The sequence below is a fragment of the Homo sapiens genome, chromosome 2 (assembly GCF_000001405.40).
Source record: "Homo sapiens chromosome 2, GRCh38.p14 Primary Assembly".
In the NCBI taxonomy this organism is placed as follows: Eukaryota; Metazoa; Chordata; class Mammalia; order Primates; family Hominidae; genus Homo; species Homo sapiens.
Window position 1 is genome coordinate 181,789,451 of NC_000002.12, and position 16,593 is coordinate 181,806,043.

The 16,593-nt window shown below is 38.5% G+C and overlaps 1 annotated feature.

Moving 5' to 3' along the window:
* Positions 1,273–2,472: an enhancer, noted in NCBI's record as "P300/CBP strongly-dependent group 1 enhancer chr2:182655450-182656649 (GRCh37/hg19 assembly coordinates)". NCBI's record gives its function as "activates an origin of replication core promoter dependent on BRD2, BRD4, P300/CBP, MED14 and CDK7 cofactors, with strong dependence on P300/CBP, by STARR-seq in HCT116 cells {active_cell/tissue: HCT116}" and the evidence as "EXISTENCE:reporter gene assay evidence [ECO:0000049][PMID:35650434]".

Consider the following 16,593-nt stretch of genomic DNA (forward strand, 5'->3'; position numbering starts at 1 on the left):
CAGCTATAATGGTAAAGACTGAATTCTAGAGTCAGCAGACCTGTTTTCAACTCTTAACAGTTGAGTTATTTAACATCATCAATTCAATTCAGACTTTGATCGTATGTCAAATTGGATTGAGGATAGGATCTATCTCATGGGAAGGCTGTGAAGATTAAGGGGGATAACAAATATGAAGTATGTAGCGCAGTAAGGACTCAAATATTAATCATTTTAAATTAGTAATTGTATTATTTCTAAACTGGGTGCTTGCTAAAGAAGATACACAGATTGTAAAATGAGATCTCCATTGTCAAGTATAGAATCCTTCTACATGGAATAAGCTGTACACCAATAATGTCATTTACCCTAAGAGACATATAGAAACTCTTTGTTATCCAGAATGCCATCTATGCAAAATATATTTAAGAGATGGGAAGTGAAAAATGAATCAATGCAGCTAAACTAGGTACCAGACAGTACATATATACCTTGTACAAGTGATGGGTCCAAAATAGTAGATGACTAATTGCCAACAGTAGATTTTTGTTGTAGTTACCTACAAGAGTAATCATGATTCTTCTCATGTGGCACTATTATTATTGATCTTTCACAGAAAGAGTCATGTTATCCATGCTCATGTGCAATGGACAAAGCTTTTCCAACTTCGTCCTGTTCTAGATGTTACATGCCAGAAGTTCACTCCTGCAATCAGCAAGTGGGACACAGGTAGAGAAAGACAGAGATTTCAAAGCCACACAGACAGAGCAGTCATTCCCAGACAGTCACTAACTCCACACCCACATTCAGTAGAGAGCACTGAAGGAAAGCCTTATCTGCACTTTCGAAGCTGATACGACAGATTTTAAGGTCTATCACTGAGCATCTGTGGACTCAGAGATAGAGAATGTCCTGAAAAATAGTAATAAGGTCCATGATAGAAGGAAATAACATGAGCTAAAATACACATAAAGGATTTAGAAGAGTTCTGCGAATGTGGAAAGTCCTTAAGAAAAGTGAGCTTTTATTATTATTTTTTGTAGGAAAAAAGCGACTTGGACCCACAAAACAGCAACAATGGAAACTGGACAGCTGAAAAATATGTAGAACCATTGGCAACTTAGAAATTTAGACCCCCAAATCACCAAAGAATATTTTATTTTTTCAACAGAACAAATTCCTTAGTAGATAGGGGCACTTGTAATACACTTGAAGACTTTCTTGTGGTTGATTTCATGTGTGGGTTAACTCTAAAGTAATCTGCATATACAGATTATTCCTTAGTTTTAAATTTGTCATCTTTATAAAGTTCCAACCTAAAACCCTTCCAGGTATTATTACACCCGAGAGTATACGGATCTACCTTAGCTGTTAAAGTCTGAGGGCCCACCCAGAGCGGGCAGATCAGATAAGCACGTCACCCCACAGGAAGCTGCTTTCAGTTGTTTGCTGGGGCATGCCTTGGTATCAGTCACAGATGTTACTCAAAGATGAGACCCCTTCAGCCCTTATTCAAAGCCCTTTTACTCTTCTTTGTTCCAATTCTGTAATAAACATTTATCGAATTTTAGATACTGACAAGGCCAGGAATATATGTCTGGCCAGCCACAGCCAGGTAAACATCATACGCAAACTAAAAGACAAATGCAGTCAGGGGAGCTGTGAACACGTTCAAGCCCCTGAACTATGACCTGTGCTTTGAGTTCTGTGTGAGACTGAAAAAGACAAACAGAAGAGTTGCCTGTTAGAGATAGTTTTGTTTTTCTGGTTTTAAAGATATAATCCTTAGATTTGTAAATCATTCTTGGTAAGGGGGAGACACTGCTTTCCAGTTGTCTACCATTTCACTTACCTGAACTTTTTGAATGCACAGTCCTATACATTCTTTGTCAGTACATTGATTTTAAAGTCGTTTTATAAAAGTTAATGACTCACGGGGCCATCTGTGCAACTTAAACACAATGGCAACCTATGCAGGTGGTTGCTGTGTGTCATATACTGTGCCTGCTGTGTATATTTCTTCTAATTAGTCATACATCCTGAATCAGTTAAGGATGACTGTGGTGAGAAATACAAATCATACCAGGACTGCTTTTAGCCTGACCTATGGTGAACTTGAATGAGTAAAGTACTCCCTGGAGAGAAAATTGCTCACTGTATAGGTAGGCGTACTCCTTTCTTTCAAGGCAACAGGATACATTTAACAACAAGGAAAAAGGAGTTTATCAAATATATCCTGAGTAAGACCCTTTGGTGGCGGGTTGTTTTTCAGGCTCAATTTCTTGGCTTCTCAGATCTATCCTTTAGAAAAAAAAAAAAAGAGTAGTCCAAAAGCTGAAATTCATCAAGAAACATATCCTGTTCATGAAGGAGTCCTAGTGGAGGATGGAAACAACTTTAATTTAGGTTCTAGTAAGCAGTCTGGGATGATTTTCAGATAAACCATGAAGCCATCAACTTGTATTTAATTTGCTGTCATAAAATTTAATTACTCTCAAGCAAAACAAGTTCTAATTAGATGTGATATGAAAAAATTAAAACACAGCATATTAACAAGTGAAACTGATCTCTAGATAATAAAAGTGAGAGAAAGTACATATTGAACTTAAGGAGTGGTCTGGAAAGAGTACCAACAACTAAACGAGGAAAATTTAGTGTGGTCGTGGTAGGAGGAAAGGTAGCCAAAGGAAAGAATCCTGTGTTAATGAGCCTCTGGTCAGTGACTGAGACTGTAGAAAAGAGTAAAAAATAAAATGAAAAAAGTCAAAGGAATTCTAGGTTGTCTGCACTCACCTCATTATACAACAGATGAAGAAACTGAGGCCTCTCATGGCAAAGTGACTTGTTCAAGGACACAAAGCAAGACAATGTTATTACTAAGGCATATGTGTGTCCTCTTCTTCATTGTTAGGTAATGTATGCTAAAGTATAGTGGGCACTGTCTTCATATTTGGATGTGAAGAGAGGCAGTTTCTAGTAGTATTTAAGATGATAGGTAGACTACCAATAAAATAATTTGCTAAATATACATGATACTCATTTAAAATAGATTCCTTCTACCAGTAATGTCACAACTGGTAGTGTATGGAGGGTTTTGTCCATGTAATCCAAATTTGTGGCAAATTTTAGAAATTTTTCTTGGGAAAGGATATTTAATAAGAAAGTGATACAAACTTGAAATATAGCTTTAACAATCAATAAATTATCTAAGTACTTTTAAATGGACTGGAAGACCGAAGAAGATGTACAGATGGCAAACAAGTGTATGAAAAGGTGATCAACATCATTTGTCACTGGGAAATTAAAAATTAAAACAACAATGAGATTATACTACACACCTATTAGAGTGGCTAAAATTCCAAAAACAGATAATATCAATTGCTGGTGAGGATGTGGAAAAAGGAACTCTCATTGATTGCTGGCAGAAATGCAAAATAGTCTAGCCATTTTGGAAAGCAGTTTGGCAGTTTGCAGGAAGCTAAACATAGTCCTAACATATGATCTAGCAATTGTTCTAGGTGTTTACCCAACTGAATTGAAAACTTATGTCTACCCCCAAATCGCCATGCAAATGTTTAGAGCAGCTTCATTCATAATTGTCCCAAACTGGAAGCAACCAAGATGTTCTTCACCAGGTGAATGAATGAAAAAAAAAAAAAAAAAACTATGGTACATCCATACAATGGAGTACTATTCAGTAATAAAAAGGAAATGAGCCATCAAGGAATGAAAAGACATGGATGAATTTTAAATGCATATTGCTATGTCAAAGAAGTCTGTCTGAAAGGCTATATGCAGTATGATTCCAATTATATGACATTCTGGAAAAGACAAAACTACAGAGATGGAAGCAATTAGTGATTGCCAGAGGTTTGGTGTGGGAGAAGGGGAGCACAGAACAAGTGCGGCTCAGGAGAAGTTTTAGAGCAATGAAGCTATTCTGTATGGTATAACTGTGGATAAGTGTCACTATGTATTTGTCAAAATCCATAGAAATGTACAATAGAGAGAGGAGAGCTTAATGTATACAAATTAAAGAAAAATCATTTATGAGGTTGGGAGAATCCCAAGATGAAATGTCCAACATGACAAAGATTGTAACTGTATTACAAATGTGTGAAACAACCTCACTGTAGGTTTTATAGGGGAAGGTTACTGACCTAAGTAACTGGAAATGAGTGAGGCCTGTATGACTAAAAAAGATGGCAAAAGAAATTATACATAAGCACTATATACTCATTAATGAAGTTGTTTCCCACAGGGATAAAAGTTTTAATACCATTATACACATATACTAAAATTGAACAATTAAATAAATGGATGATGAGTATTAGATGTCAGATATCTCACTTTTGGAAAGAGAGGTTACAGATAAACAAGGGGACGAGGCCAGAATAACCCACGTGGTAACGGATTAGTCAGAAGCATCAGTATGAATTCATGTTTAGCTTCATATAGCTAAAACATGGTCACATATGGAAATATTTAGAGATATGTGCATATGTATAGGCTAGTATTCACACAGATATCTTGCTGATCTGTCAGCTGAGAGGCCCAAGAAGCAATGACAGTTTAGTAGCATGGACACTAAGCATCGAGTTCTTGGGTTCCCATACCATTCTGCAATAAAAGGAATGAGGGCTTCTTGGGGGAAATGTCTGATTCTAAGACTGGAACAAGAAATATACAAGTAAGATTTGTGTATTTGTAGTACCACAAAAAAGGAAGTACTCAGAAAAAGCCAAAAAACAAACAAAACACAATGATAGGGGCACATCAAAGGGACACAAGATCTCACTGAAAGAGCTCCCAGTAGTAAAAATTGGAACAATTTGAGCAACCATAATAAATAAAGTAGCATCAGATTATAACCCAAAGTATAAAATAAATATTCAAGTAGCATTGGATTATAATCTAAGGTATAAAAATTATTCAACCAAAATAAATAAAGTAGCATCAGATTATAATCCAAAGTATAAAATAAATATTCATGAATCCATACTGACATAAATGATTGAATAAATAAATAAATAGAAGGAGAAGAGACCACCTCCCTTGCAGAAATATTTCAAATAATTTAGGTAGATAGTCCTCAAGGAGGTAGAGCATAATTCCCGAGTCCTTAAGTGGGAGCTGTGCATAGGGACTCCCTACCAACGAGTACATGATAGAAAGCGGTGAGGAGAATAACTTCATAGTGGAGACACGTGATAAACACATCTCAGCCAGGTGATCACCACCAACAGTGATATCAATATATCACCGTAGTGATGGCAATATGCCCTTGACAGATGTGATGAAAATGGCATTTTAACTTTTTGAGCTTTCTCCCAAAAACGCATAACCTCAGTTTAATTGTTAGTCAAATCCCAACCGAGGGATATTTTATAAACTATCGGACCAGTACTTCTCAAAACTAAATGTTATCAAAAACAAGGTATGAGCCAGACGTGATGGCTCATGCCCGTAATCCCAGCACTTTGGGAGGCCAAGGCAGGAGGATCACTTGAACCCAGGAGTTTGGGATAATGAGACCTCGTCCCTGCAAAAATTTAAGAAAAATTGGCGGGGTGTGGTGGTGCACGCCTGTTCCAGCTACTAAGGGGGCTAAGGCAGGAGGATCACTTGAGCCCGGGAGATTGAGGCTGCAGTAAGCCATGATTGTGCCAGTGCACTCCAGCCTGGGTAACAAAGTGAGACCCTGTCTCAAAAACAAAAAACAGACAAAACCAAAAAACAAGGTAAGTTTGAGAAACTGACATAGCCAAGAAGAGTCTACAGAGACATAATACTACATGCAATATGGTACCTTGGATGGGATCCTGACACAGAAAATGAACATTAGGTAAAAATGAAAGAAAACTGATTAAAGTATGCACTTTAGTTAATAATGTGTCAATATTGGTTCATTAAGTGTAGAAGGTATATCATACTAATGTAAGATATTAATAATAAGGGAAACTGGGTGTGGTGTATATGGAAAGTCTCTGTACTATCTTCCCAATTTTTTTTCATACTGTTCTAAAACAAGAAAAGTTTACTTAAAAAATGTGTTGGGGGAAGAGGTTCATATTGGGGTGTTGAGTTTCATATGTTTGCAGGACAAATAATGAGATTAGGTGTTCCACAATGCCCTGAATCATAGGGCTGGCCATTTTGATCTTGCCAATAGTTTCAAAGTAATTTTTTTAAAGTAATTTTTTTTAGAGGTAGAGGGGTGGAAATTGTTTCAACAGGTATGTACTACTGTATTTTAAGATGGAATGAAGTGGGAAACACTATTTTACTTTAATCTTAGAGGATATTAATATCACAAAAGTAATATATTTTTAATACTCACCTTACATTTCTTCAGGTTTCCAGTTCCACAGATGACCAATTAGTAACCAGGGATCAGTTGAAAGAAGAAAAATCTTGATGTTTTCTACATTGGGAAATACAATTATGTATCACTTCATGATGGATATATACTCTGAGAAATGCATCATTAGGCAATTTTGTCCTTGCGAGCATTACAGAGTGCACTTACACAAACCTAGATGGTACAGCCTACTATACACCCAGGTTATATTGTACAGTCTATTGCTCCTAGGTCGCAAACCTATATAGCATGTTACTGTACTGAATACTGCATTCAGTTGTGATACAATGGTATTTGTGTATCTAAACATATCTAAACATAGAAAAGGTACATTAAAAATTCAGTATCATAATCTTATGGGACCACCAGTACACATGTGGTTCATCACTAACTGAAACGGTGTTATGCAGCACTTTACTATACTAAACATAGAGTCTTTAGGATTTTCCATGCTAAAATCTTTCTGAAATGATACATTCTCAGCACATTCAATTGTTCAGGGACAGACCATCTAGTTTGTAAATTCTGCATTTCTTTAGCTTTCCTCATTATCCTCTCTGCCAGTCTATCATTAGATGGAAAAAGATTATTTTTACAGGGTGAAAAGAAAAAACACAGAGCATCAAAAGTATTACCCAAAATGGGCTTCTTGAATTATCTGCAGATCTGATTTTTGTATGCTATTTTTCCCACTTAATGCACTGTCACTTGGCCATATCTGGGCATATTTCAGATGCCTAGAATTGAGATTGTTAGCAGAAAGCAGTCCTGCAAGCAGATTGTTCATGGTTCAGAATCTCCTGTCCTTTCTTCACTCTGACCAAGTCACACTTGCTGATGGCCTTGGGTTTATAAGGCATCCTTAAAGATCCACTTAACTTTGTGCTCAGAACTGATGCTGACTTCAAGTGTGATCTGGTCATCAGGTTGCCGGTATCCAATATGAGACTTTACCAACTTAGAGGCGGATGAATCATCAGTACCATTTCTTCCCACACCTGAATCCTGCTTAGAGGCCTTGGCCTCAAATACGCCTTTTATAATCTCTTACAGGAGAAAATTAGCAGCAAAGTCTTAGGCCATTTAATGAACTTGTAACATGTTTGAGAGCAAGGGAAACAAAGAGGTTTTTACAAAAGTTGGGCCAATCTGTAAACACAGTACTGATCAAATTCCAGCAAACCTAAACTAGAGGGCACACATACTAAATATCCTACAGTTTCAGTTTTCTTAATAACCAGCAACAGAGTGTTGCGTTCATAACACAACACAATTCTTTCACTTTCCATCATTCTCTTTATTTCTGCATATACTCTATGTCAGTCTTTCAAACACACTATTCTTCAATAGCTTGTGCTAATCTGCTCTCATATCACTTTCTCAACATCTTACCAGACCACTGAGCACACACTAATGCCACTGGAACGTTTTCTATAGTGTGAGTGTGTATGTGTTTGTGTGTGAGTGTGAGTGGGTGTGCATGTCAGGAGGGAGTAATTTCTTTCATAGGCCAACATAAATGAAAGGCTCTTACTAGCTTTGTGGAGACAATTTCAGCTCTTTTGGTCAAAGGAAAGGGAATTTACTAGGATAAGGGCCCCATGTCCATGTAAAATGACACACTAACTTCCCAACCAAGTCAGACAAGAAAATTTACAATGAAGGGTGAGCTTCTTATAGCCAGGTAGCCATTGTGGCCCACATGAAAGGCTGGCTGTTCTTTCCCTCTATAGAGAGCATGGGCTAAGAAAGTCGGCAAGTCGGGTGTCTTGTGAATCACCTCTACAATGGCATGGGGTCTGGGTACGCAGGGGACAGGAGGGTAAAGGAGGTGAATGAATGAGAAGGGTACATGGTCATGCCTCTGTTTCATGAGTCTTTCTTTGCTTTGATAGCTTGTGTCATGTGTGAAAGGGGCGGTAAAATTTAGGTTTTTTTAAAAAGTCTGATAGCTGTGAGTTTTCTGGGGCTGCTATAACAGAGTACCACAAACTTGGGGGCTTAGAACAACAGAAATGTATTATCTCAAAATTCTGGAGGCCGGAAGTCTGATATCAAGATGTTGGCAAGGCCATGCTCCTTTCAAGGGCATTAGGGAAGGTTCTTTTCCAGGCCCCTCTCCTAGCTTCTGAGAGCTCCTTGCCTTATGGCAGTATAATTCCAATCTTCACATGATATTCCTGTGTGCATGTCTCTGTGTCCAAATTTCCCCTTTATATAAAGGCATGAGTCATATTGGTTAAGGGGACTACAGTACTCCATTATAGCTTCATCTTAACTGTATCTTCAACAACGCTATTTCCAAATAAGATCACATTCTGAGGTACTGGGGATTAGAACTCCAGTGTGTGAATTTTTACACAGTTCAATTCATAAGAACATCAAACTGTATACAGACACTTGGCAATTATCCTGAAAAGAGCAGTTCTTTGAGTTGATACGTCTCTGTGCTAGAAGCCTTTCTTTTTGATCTGTGAAGTAATTAAACCAGTGTTCTGGCCAGGATATGTTGAAATCATAACAATGGCATGAATTTGGGCTGGATATAATTGTACATTTTTTTAGGTAAAATTACAATATTTATGTTAAAATAATATGAAATATTTGCAGAACAAAAGCTTTAATATGTGTGATCCATTTTCCTTTGAATTCAAAATATACCTGCAGATGGAAATACACAAAGGTATTAAAAGCAGTTATTACAGGTGGGAAGGAATAGAAAGTCTTTCTTTTCTTCCCTTTCTGATTTTCAAATTGTATAGCTAGCAGGATTTTTTTTTTAATACTTTAAGTTCTAGGGTACATGTGCACAACGTGCAGGTTTGATACATAGGTATACATGTGCCATGTTGGTTTGCTGCACCTATCAGTCATTTACATTAGGTATTTCTCCTAATGCTATCCCTCCCCCAGGCCTCCACCCCCCCGAAAAGCCCCAGTGTGTGATGTTCCCCACACTGTGTCCAAGTAATCTCATTGTTCAATTCCCACCTATAAGTGAGAACATGTGGTGTTTGGTTTTCTGTCCTTGTGGTAATTTGCTGAGAATGATGGTTTCCAGTTTCATCCATGTCCCTGCAAAGGACATGAACTCATCCTTTTTTATGGCTGCATTGTATTTCACGGTGTATACGTGCCATATTTTCTTTATCCAGTCTATCATTGATGGACATTTGGGTTGGTTCCAAGTCTTTGCTATTGTGAATAGAGCTGCAATAAACATACGTGTGCATGTGTGTTTATAGTAGCATGATTTATAATCCTTTGGGTATATACCCAGTAATGGGATCGCTGGGTCAAATGGTATTTCTAGTTCTAGATCCTTGAGGAATTGCCACACTGTCTGCCACAATGGTTGAACTAATTTACACTCCCACCAACAGTGTAAAAGCTTTCCTATTTCTCCACATCCTCTCCAGGATCTTGTTGTTTCCTGAGTTTTTAATGATTGCCATTCTAACTGGCATGAGATAGTATCTCAATGTGGTGTTGATTTGCATTTCTCTAATGACCAGTGATGATGAGCATTTTTTCATGTGTCTGTTGGCTGCATAGATGTCTTCTTTTGAGAAGTGTCTCTTTATATCCTTTGCCCACTTTTTGATGGGGTTGTTTGTTTTTTTCTTGTAAATATGTTTAAGTTCTTTGTAGATTCTGGATATTAGCCCTTTGTCAGATGGGTAGATTGCAAAAATTTTCTCCCATTCTGTAAGTTGCCTGTTCACTCTGATGGTAGTTTCTTTTGCTGTGCAGAAGCTCTTTAGTTTAATTAGATTCCATTTGTCTATTTTGGCTTTCGTTGCCATTGCTTTTGGTGTTTTAGTCATGAAGTCCTTGACCATGCCTATGTCCTGAATTGTACTGCCTAGGTTTTCTTCTAGGATTTTTATGGTTTTACGTCTAACATTTAAGTCTTTAATCCATCTTGAATTAATTTTTGTATAAGGTGTAAGGAAGGGATCCAGTTTCAGCTTTCTGCATATGTCTAGCCAGTTTTCCCAGCACCATTTATTCAATAGGGAATCCTTTCCCCATTTCTTATTTTTGTCAGGTTTGTCAAAGATCAGATGATTGTGGATGTGTGGTATTATTTCTGAGGGCTGTGTTCTGTTGCAGTGGTCTGTATCTCTGTTTTGGTACCAGTACCATGCTGTTTTCGTTACTCTAGGCTTGTAGTATAGTTTGACGTCAGGTAGTGTGATGCCTCCAGCTTTGTTCTTTTGGCTTAGGATTGTCTTGGCAATGCAGGCTCTTTTTTGATTCCATATGAACTTTAAAGCAGTTTTTTCCAATTCTGTGAAGAAAGTCATTGGTAGCTTGATGGGGATGGCATTGAATCTATAAATTACCTTGGGCTGTATGGCCATTTTCATGATATAGATTCTTCCTATCCATGAGCATGGAATGTTTTTTCATTTGTTTGTGTCCTCTTTTATTTCACTGAGCAGTGGTTTGTAGTTCTCCTTGAAGAGGTCCTTCATGTCCCTTGTAAGTTGGATTCCTAGGTATTTTATTCTCTTTGAAGCAATTGTGAATGGGAGTTCACTCGTGATTTGGTTCTCTGTCTGCTACTGGTATGTAGGAATGCTTGTGATTTTTGTACATTGATTTTGTATCCTGAGACTTTGCTGAATTTGCTTATCAGCTTAAGGAGATCTTAGGCTGAGACGATGGGGTTTTCTAAATATACAGTCATGTCATCTGCAAACAGGGACAATTTGACTTCCTCGTTTCCCAATTAAATACCCTTTATTTCTTTCTGTTGTCTGATTGCCCTGGCCAGAACTTCCAACACTATGTTGAATAGGAGTGGTGAGAGAGGGCATCCCTGTCTTGTGCCAGTTTTCAAAGGGAATGCTTCCAGTTTTTGCCCATTAAGTATGATATTGGCTGTGGATTTGTCATAAATAGCTCTTATTATTTTGAGATACGTTCCATCTATACCTAGTTTATTGAGAGTCCTTAGCATGAAGGGCTGTTGAATTTTGTCAAAGGCCTTTTCTGCATCTATTGAGATAATCATGTGGTTTTTGTCTTTGGTTCTGTTTATGTGATGGATTATGTTTATTAATTTGCGTATGTTGAACCAGCCTTGCATCCCAGGGATGAAACCAACCTGATCATGGTGGATAAGCTTTTTTATGTGCTGCTGGATTTGTTTTGCCAGTATTTTATTGAGGATTTTTGCATCAGTGTTCATCAGGGATATAGGTCTAAAATTCTCTTTTGTTGTTGTGTCTCTGCCAGGCTTTGGTATCAGGATGATGTTGGCCTCAAAATGAGTTGGGGAGGATTCCCTATTTTTCTATTGATTGGAATAGTTTCAGAAGGAACAGTACCAGCTCCTCTTTGTACCTCTGGTAGAATTCGGCTGTGAATCCCTCTGGTCCTGGACTTTTTTTGGTTGGTAGGATACTAATTATTGCCTCAATTTCAGAGCCTGTTGTTGGTCTATTCAGAGATTCAACTTCTTCCTGGTTTAGTCTTAGGAGGGTGTATGTGTCCAGGAATTTATCCATTTCTTCTGGATTTTCTAGTTTATTTGCATAGAGGTGTTTATAGTATTCTCTGATGGTAGTTTGTATTTCTGTGGGATCGGTGGTGATATCCCCTTTATCATTTTTTTATTGTGCCTATTTGAATCTTCTCTCTTTTCTTTATTAGTCTTGCTAGTGGTCTATCAATTTTGTTAATCTTTTCAAAAAACCAGCTCCTGGGTTCATCAATTTTTTGAAGGGTTTTTTGTGTCTCTATCTCTTTCAGTTCTGCTCTGATCTTAGTTATTTCTTGCCTTCTGCTAGCTTTTGAATGTGTTTGCTCTTCCTTCTCTAGTTGTTTTAATTGCGATGTTAGGGTGTCAATTTTAGATCTCTCCTGCTTTCTCTTGTGGGCATTTGGTGCTATAAATTTCCCTCCACACACTGCTTTAAATGTGTCCCAGAGATTCTGATACGTTGTGTCTTTGTTCTCATTGGTTTCAAAGAACATCTTTATTTCTGCCTTCATTTCGTTATTTACCCAGTAGTCATTTAGGAGCAAGTTGTTCAGTTTCCATGTAGCTGTGCAGTTTTGAATGAGTTTCTTAATCCTTAGCTCTAATTTGATTGCATTGTGGTCTGAGAGACAGTTTGTTTTGATTTCTGTTCTTTTACATTTGCTGAGGAGTGCTTTACTTCCAATTATGTGGTCAATTTTAGAATAAGTGCAATGTGATGCTGAGAAGAATGTAAATTCTATTGATTTGTGTTGGAGAGTTCTGTAGATATCTATTAGCTCCGGTTGGTGCAGAGCTGAGTTCAAGTCCTGGATAGCCTTGTTAACCTTCTGTCTCGTTGATCTAATATTGGCAGTGGGGTGTTAAAGTCTCCCATTATTATTGTGTGGGAGTCTAAGTCTCTTTCTATGTCTCTAAGGACTTGCTTTATGAATCTGCGTGCTCCTGTATTGGGTGCATATATATTTAGGATAGTTAGCTCTTCTTGTTGAATTGATCCCTTTACCATTATGTAATGGCCTTCTTTGTCTCTTTTGATCTTTGTTGGTTTAAAGTCTGTTTTATCAGAGACTAGGATTGCAACCCCTGCTTTGTTTTGCTTTGCATTTGCTTGGTATATCTTCCTCCATCCCTTTACTTTGAGCCTATGTGTGTTTTTGCACATGAGACGGATCTCCTGAAAACAGCACACTGATGGGTCTTGACTCTTTATCCAGTTTGCCAGCCTGTGTCTTTTAATTGGGGCATTTAGCCCATTTACATTTAAGTTTAATATTGTTATGTGAGAATTAGATCCTGTCATTATGATGTTAGCTGGTTATTTTGACCATTAGTTGATGCAGTTTTTTCATAGCATGGATGGTCTTTATAATTTGGCATGTTTTTGCAGCAACTGGTACTGGTTGTTCCTTTCTATGTTTAGTGCTTCCTTCAGGAGCTCTTATAAGGCAGGCCTGGTGGTGACAAAATCTCTCAGCATTTGCTTGTCTGTAAAAAATTGTATTTCTCCTTCACTTATGAAGCTTAGTTTGGCCAGATATGAAATTCTGGGTTGAAAATTCTTTTCTTCAAAAATGTTGAATATTGGCCGCCACTCTCTTCTAACTTGTAGGGTTTCTGCAGATAGATCTGCTGTTAGTCTGATGGGCTTTGCTTTGTGGGTAACTCGACCTTTCTCTCTGGCTGCCCTTAACACTTTTTCCTTCATTTCAACCTCGGTGAATCTGATAATTATGTGTCTTGGGGTTACTTCTCTTGAGGAGTATCTTTATGGTGTTGTCTGTATTTCCTGAATTTGAATGTTGGCCTGCCTTGCTAGATTGGGGAAGTTCTCCTGGATAATATCCTGAAGGGTGTTTTCCACCTTGGTTCCATTCTTCACATCACTTTCAGGTACACCAATCGAACATAGATTTGGTCTTTTCACATAATCCCATATTTCTTGGAAGCTTTGTTGATTTCTTTTTACTCTTTTTTCTCTAACCTTGTCTTCTTGCTTTATTTCATTAATTTGATCTTCAATCACTGATACCCTTTCTTCCACTTGATCAAATAGGCTATTGAAGCTTGTGCATGTGTCACCAAGTTCTCGTGCCATGGTTTCAGATCCATCAGGTCATTTAAGGTCTTCTGTACACTGTTTATTCTAGTTAGCCATTCATCTAACCTTTTCCAAGATTTTTAGCTTCCTTGCAATGGGCTGGGACATGCTCCTTTAGCTCAGAGAAGTTTGTTATTACCGACCTTCTGAAGCCTACTTCTGTCAACTCATCAAAGTCATTCTCTGTCCAGCTTCGTTCCGTTGCTGACGAGGAGCTACGATCCTTTGGAGTAGAAGAGGTGCTCTGATTTTTAGAATTTTCAGCTTTTCTGCTCTGATTTCTCCCCATCTTTGTGGTTTTATCTACCTTTGGTCTTTGATGTTGGTGACCTACAGTGGGGTTTTGGTGTAGATGTCCTTTTTATTGATGTTGATGCTATTCCTTTCTGTTTGTTAGTTTTCCTTTTAACAGTCATGTCCCTCAGCTGCAGGTCTATTGGAGTTTGCTGGAGGTCCACTCCAGACCCTGTTTGCCTGGGTGTCACCAGCAGAGGCTGCAGAACAGCAAATATTGCAGAATAGCAAATATTGCTGCCTGATCCTTCTCCAGAATCTTCATCCCAGAGGGGCACCTGCCTATATGAGGTGTCTGTTGGCTCCTACTGGGAGGTGTCTCCCAGTTAGGCTACACAGGGGTCAGGGACCCACTTGAAGAGGCAGTCTGTCTGTTCTCAGAGCTCAAACGCCATGCTGGGAGAACCACCACTCTCTTCAGAGCTGTCGGACAGGGACGTTTAAGTCCGTAGAAGTTGTCTGCTGCCTTTTGTTCACCTAAGCCCTGCCCACAGAGGTGGAGTCTAGTGGCAGTAGGCCTTGCTGAGCTGCGGTGGGCTCCGCCCAGTTCGAGCTCCCCAGCAGCTTTGTTTACTTATTCAAGCCTCAGTAATGGCAGACACCCCTCCCCCATCCAGGCTGCCACCTCGTATTTTGATCTCAAGACTGCTGTGCTAGCAGTGAGCAAGGCTCTGTGGGCGTGGGACCTGCCAAGTCAGGCATGGGAGAGAATCTCCTTGTCTGCTGGTTGTTAAGACCTTGGGAAAAGCACAGTATTTGGGTGGGAGTGTCCCATTTTTCCAGGTACAGTCTGTCACAACTTCCCTTGGCTAGGAAAGGGAAATCCCCCAATCCCTTGCACTTTCCAGGTGAGGTGATGTCCCACCCTGCTTTGGCTCACCCTCCATGGGCTGCACCCACTGACCAACTGGTCTCAATGTGATGAACCAGGTACCTCAGTTGGAAATGCAGAAATCACCTGTCTTCTGCGTCAATCACGCTGGGAGCTGCAGACTGGAGCTGTTCCTATTTGGCCATCTTGGAACAGATCTCAATTGTATATCTCTTCAAAAGGTAAATTGTCTCTTTAGAAATAACCCATTTGTTTATCAAAATGTTCATCTTCTTACTTCGATGAGACTACCATTTCCTTTAGTGTACTTCCAAAATGCCTCCTGAATAATTCTGCATCCTCATTTTCCAACTTGGTGAAAATGCTTGAGGAGCAGTCAATTAGAAGCAATGGGGCATATGGTGATTTTATGATCAGTAAACTATGTAGAATGGGATTCTCTTATTTTTTTCCCTGATGCTTTGGTCCTTGCTGAAACTCTGCATTTCTTAAAACTTGAGGAGAAACAATAATTTTAGTTGTTTGGTGTAAGACAGATAGCATTTCAGAATTAATTCTGCAGTGAATTAGAAGTTCTAGAGTGGCTAATACATCTAGTGGACTCCAGATCTCTGATTCTATACTAAGTTTTAATAGTTCCATGTTAACTTTATTCTAAAAATGAATCCATCAAAGGTTTCCCATTGTGAACATGCTTATTGTTAATTAACAATAGAATGTAACATACAATAAAGAAGAAGTATGGGCTTGGCAAAAGCATTCAACTGTTACTTTTTAAAGAAACTAGAGTCTGAATAGGAAGTGAATCATACTTTTTGTTTTTTTAAACTTCACAACAAACCCAGAATTCTTATTTTACTTCACTGAGAGAAAGTCTGAGAACCTTGATATTCTCCAGAGCACATAACAGATGCAGTGATAATTCTAAGCCTTAGACATTTGGCATAGTTGAGGTTTTATGACAAGGTATTCTGGCAGAAGAGAGAAGACCCTAATGAGCAAAGTAACCTTGTTAACCTTTAAAGTATTGTCCTTTTGGATCCCATGAGGTTTTTTAACAGATACATCATTTGTTTAGATCATTTCAGTTCTATGACTTGATATATTTCCAAAACTGGCTTCAAGGTCTTATTTATTTTATCCTCCAAATGAGCCTAGTAAAGTAGAAACATAACTGCATTGTTGAAAGTCATTTGTGGTTTGCAAGCTTCTTCTGTCTTCCTTCCCATAAAATACAATTTAGTACTTAAGCTTTTTCTTTCAATAATGTATGCTAAAGCATTGTCCATCGATGCCACATTTCCCTTTATATGTTACAAATAAGGGTGGCTGTGTGAAATAAGACGATATCTGATTACGTGGCCTGGAACTTCCTCTTTCCTAGTTTTTGCACAGCTACAAGGCTGAGAGTTAAACAAAGGGAAGGGGACAGTAAGACCTAGTGAGAGCCAGACATGAAGCCTGCTGTGACAGTGGCTGCCCCAAGTTTGGAGGGACCTCAGGAGACCCACTTTATTCTAGGTCCAGGAGGA